Source organism: Homo sapiens, chromosome 8, assembly GCF_000001405.40.
Source record: "Homo sapiens chromosome 8, GRCh38.p14 Primary Assembly".
Lineage (NCBI taxonomy): Eukaryota > Metazoa > Chordata > Mammalia > Primates > Hominidae > Homo > Homo sapiens.
Genome location: NC_000008.11, coordinates 48,854,224 through 48,859,274, shown reverse-complemented (window position 1 = coordinate 48,859,274; position 5,051 = coordinate 48,854,224). Strand labels below are relative to the sequence as shown.

Here is a 5,051-nt window from a genome sequence, read left to right as displayed (position 1 = left end):
TATGTATGGAATGTGAATAATATACATTTATTATAATAATAACTGATTTGGCCAGTGGAGCTGTTCCTACAGACCCTGTTTGCTCTGACAGACAGTATCTCCAGCTCATAACACTCTGTACTTGTCATAAATAGATGCTCAGTAAATATTTTCTAGTTAATCACATTTTTATTTACTAGTAAAACACTTGCTCTCTTCCTCTCCCAGCTAGATAAATGAGAAATATATTTGAAGTATAATACACCAATTTTAAAGGTTACCAAATGATTAGGCTTCTTAGACCATTTGCACCATCTGACTCTGAATTAATTAAAGGTAGTTATTATCGGTTGACATTTTAAAAATGTAGTTATGGCCAGGCCTAGTGGCTCACGCCTGTAATCCCAGCACTTTGGGAGGCCAAGGCAGGCGGATCACCTGAGGTCAGGAGTTCGAGACCAGCCTGAGCAACATGAAGAAACCCCGTCTCTACTAAAAAAAAATACAAAAATTAGCTGGGCATGGTGGCGCATGCCTGTAATCCTAGCTATTCGAGAGGCTGAGGCAGGAGAATCACTTGAACCTGGGATGGGGAGGTTGCAGTGAGTCGAGATTACGCTGTTGCACTCCAGCCTGGGCGACAGAGCAAGACTCCAACTAAAAAAAAAAAAAAAAGTGCAGTTATGTAACGGTTGGGGGCACTAAAGCCCTCTTCAACACAGTAAATAATAATGTTCCTCCAACATTCTATCTTAATCCCAATGCTCAGGTGTTGCCTGTGATTGGAACATGGTGTGCCTGCCTTTGGCTTTCATGTCTGTGCTCTCACAATGGAGGTGACACTGTCCCTGGCAAGGCTTCATGTGTGCTGTGGTCCCCCAGTTCCACTCACCTTTTCTCCTCTTTCTCTGCTCCTCCCAGCCCATGGCCTCTCCTCCCAGCAGGTCCTACACATTGCCGGCATTTGGCCAGATCTCACAGCATCCACACCTGCTGTGCCCATCCCCATCTGCGCCACCTGATTCTGAGAGGAGCTGGTGTGGCTGGTCTGGACAGCTGCATTCAACCCCAGTCCCTGGCCTTCTGTGCAGCTCTGTCGGGTCCCAGGACCACTCGCTGACTGTGTCTCAGGCTCCAGCTTGATCTGAACCCACAGCCCCTCAATTACGTGTTCACTATCCCTGTAAATGCACCACGTGAACGAGGGGCTGAGAACAACACAAACTTGTTGTCTCACAATTGCAGAGGTCAGAAGCCCAACACGGGTCTCACTGGGCTAAAATTGGGGTGTTGGCAGGGCTTTCGTGCCTTGTTATGGCCAGTAGGTAGTGGAGATGGCATCTGAACCTGTGAGTCTGAGCCATGATCTTCTTGTCCCTCCATCTTTATTGAGGTATGCCTGACAATAAAACACTGTGTACATGCAAGGTGCACGAAATGATGCTTTGATATATGTATACACTGTGAAATGATTGCCACAATCCAGCTACTTCACATATTACCTCACGTAGTATGATTTGTGTGTGTGTGTGGTGAGAACACTTGAGATCTATGCTCTTTGCAAATTTCATATATACAATGCAGTATTATTAACCACCGTCACCATGCTGTGTGTTAGGTTTCTGGAACTGAACATTTGCACCCTCTGACCTACGTTCCCCTCCACTCAGCCCCTGGCAACCAGCACTCCACTCTGCCTCCGTGAGCCTGACTTTTCTAGATTTTGCATGGAAGTGAGATCAGGCATTCCTTGTCTTACTGTGTCTGGCCCATCTCACATGGCACAATGCCCTTCAGGTTCATCCATGTTACTGCAAAGGCAGAATTCCCTTCTTTTTTTACAGCTGAATAATACTCCATTGTGCAGAGGTATCTTATTTTCTTCATTCATTCATCCACCAACAGGCACTTAGGTTGATTCTGTAGCTCAGCTCTTGTGACAGTGCTGCAGCAAGCATGGGAGTACAGTAGAGGCTGCAATGAGCTGAGATCGCACCACTGCACTCCAGCCTGGGTGACAGAGCGAGATACAGTCTCAAAAAAAAAAAAAGAGAGAAAGAGAGAGAGAGAGAAAGAAAAAGAAAGAAAGAAAGAAAGAAAGAAAGAAAGAAAGAAAGAAAGAAAGAAAGAAAGAAAGGAAAGAAAGAAAGAAAGAAAGAAAGAAAGAAAGAAAGAAAGAAAGAAAGAAAGAAAGAAAGAAAGAAAGAAAGAAAGAGAAAGAAAGCAAGCCAGCGAAATTCTTGGCTTTGGATTTTAAATAGATGTAAAACCTAAAACCAAAGGCAAGAATTTCACTCTTTTTTCTATGAATATTTTTTATGTCCTGTCTTCATCAGTATAATAAAACTTGGCTACAATGTCTAATTTTAATGAGAGAAAGACTTTGGGACAAAAATGGAAGTACTGAAATAGAAAAATACGTAGGATGATGTTTAAAAATGCTTTTATATTAAAGGATGAATGAAATATGGGGAAGAATAGACATTTTTCAATGCCCAGATATTTGGAAAATTTAGATTGTATGCTTTCTCCTCTAGGAAGTCAGCTGAGAATGAATTTCAGCCAAAAAAGAAAATAAAATGAAGGAAGAGGAAGACATGATATACAGAAAATAGTGGATCCCACCAGGGATACTGATTTCATTTCCTTTATATACCCAAAAGTTGGATTGCTGGACCATATGTCAGTTCTCCTTTTAATTTCTTTGGGAACTTCCATACTGTTTTCTATAGGACTGTACCAATGATATTCCAACCAACAGTATATAAAGGCTCCTTTTTTCCCATATCATTGCCAACACTTATTTCCTATCTTTTGGATGATAGCCATTCAGACAGCTGTGAGGTGATACCTCATGGTGGTTTTGATTTGCATTTCCCTGATAATTAGTGATGTTGAGCACCTTTTCATATACCTGTTGGCCATTTATATGTCCTCTTTTAATAAATGTATATTTTTATTTTTTAATTATTATAAAAGTAATATATGTGCATGTAACATATCAAATAGTACCCTGGGCAACATAGAGAGACCCTGTCCCTACAAAACAATTTTAAAAATTAGCTGGGTGTGTTGGTGATCACCTGTTGTCCCAGCTGCTCAGGAGGCTGATGTGGGAGGATTGATTGACCCCAGGAAGTCAAGACTGCAGTGAGCCAAGGCCGCAACATTGCACTTCAGCCTTTAGAGATACTATCTCTAAAAAATAAATGTAAAAAAATTAAAATCAAATAGTGCAAAAAACTTTCAAAGAAAAACAACAGACCCTGGCTAGACTCCTCCCTCCTTATCCCAGCCTCATTTTTAAGAAAAACTATCTCAAAAGTTTCCTGTCATTGTTATTTTGTTTTATTTCTCTTGATAGTGACCTCCACAAACCTAGATAATATATACATTCCTCTATTTCTTGTTTATATTTTTAGACAATATTCATCGACTTTCTTGTAAGATGTAAGAATTAAGCTCATATACACCCCCACCTGCTGCTTCTCAGTTTTGAAATGTATATGTTGGTTCTTCTGCTGATTATCTGTTTTTGTATTTGTCTGTTTCCTTTCTTCTTCAACTGTAAGCTGTACATCCTGACATCCCCACGCACACTTTAGGATGAGAATAGATGTGAATGTCCCCATTATTCCCACCCATCTGCACCCCTTGGAGCTGCCATGTGCTTCCTCTGGCTCAGCTCTGCACCACCAGTCAGTCTCTGCTGCTTTGTTCATGGGAGGACTCCGAAGATTGAAAACCAATAAGCAGCCTTGACAGTCTTATCATTGTATAAATACCGCTCACAGAGGCAATCAGTAGGCCAGAAACTCTTTTTCTGAATCTAGTGTCTCAGCATCTGGGCCACTCAAATTCTACTGTTTCTGTCTGTCCTCAATATCAAATGCAATCTCTCTTCTAAGATAATGTTCCTTTCTTGAACGTTCTCCATTTTCATTCACTCCACATTTGAGCAATAACTTTCAGACACAGGTTTTCTTTATGCAAAGTTCTAATTGCCTTCTTTTTACCTGAGTTATTTGCCTTATTACAACTGCATGCTTCCTTAAGCTCAAATCATGCTTTCTATTTTATCAAGTTCCTCTCTTCCCAGGAGACTCCCCTCCTGAAAATACTTTCTTCCTACTCTGTCTTGTAAGACGCCTCCCCAGCTGGAAGTCAGCCTCTTCCAGACGCATCCCTCTACTGTACTCCGGGCAGGATCGACTATTTTCTGTATATCATGTCTTCCTCTTCCTTCATTTTATTTCCTTATTTTGCTGAAATTCATTCTCAACTGACTTCTTAGAGGAGAATGCATGCAAGATACAATCTACATTTTCTAAATACTTGTGTAGTGAAAAATATCTATTCTGCCCCATGTTTTATTCATCCTTTAATATAAAACATTTTAACCACCATCCTATGTATTTTTCTATTTCAGTAATTCCATTTTGCCCCAGAGTCTTTCTCTCATTAAAACTAGACACTGTAGCCAAGGTTTAATACCCTCTTGAGGAGAGGACATCAAAAACAAAATTCATAGAAAGAAAAAAGAGTGAAATTCTTGCTTTGGTTTTATATCTAAAAAATCCAAAGCCAAGAATTGTTGTTGTTGTTTAGATCAGGGTCTCACTGGAGTGCGGTGGTGCAATCTTAGCTCACTGCAGGCTCCGTCTCTCAGGTTCAAGCGAGTCTCGTGCATAGCCTCCTGCATTGCTGGGGTCACAGGCATGCACCACCACATTTGGCTAATTTTTGTATTTTTAGTAGAGACAGAGTTTCACCATGTTGGCCAGGCTGGTCTCAAACTCCTAACCTTAAGTGATCCACCTGCCTCAGACTCCCAAAGCGCTGGGATTACAGGTGTGAGCCACCACACCCAGTTGAATTTGGCTTTTTCTGATTTTTTCATCATTGTGTGAACATCACAGAGTGCACTTACACACACCCAGACGGTAGAGCTTCCTACACACTCAGGCTAGATGGTAGACGCTATTGCTCCTAGGGCACACGTCTGTATAGCTACAGTATGATACTGTCCTGAATACTGTAGCCAACTGTACCAACATGGTAAGTATTTGTGT

At 41.1% G+C, this 5,051-nt stretch overlaps 1 annotated feature.

Annotated features, from left to right (window-relative positions):
• Positions 471–971: an enhancer, noted in NCBI's record as "H3K4me1 hESC enhancer chr8:49770863-49771363 (GRCh37/hg19 assembly coordinates)". NCBI's record gives its function as "activates a minimal SCP1, AML or CMV promoter by ChIP-STARR-seq in naive H9 embryonic stem cells {active_cell/tissue: H9 hESC(naive)}" and the evidence as "EXISTENCE:reporter gene assay evidence [ECO:0000049][PMID:30033119]".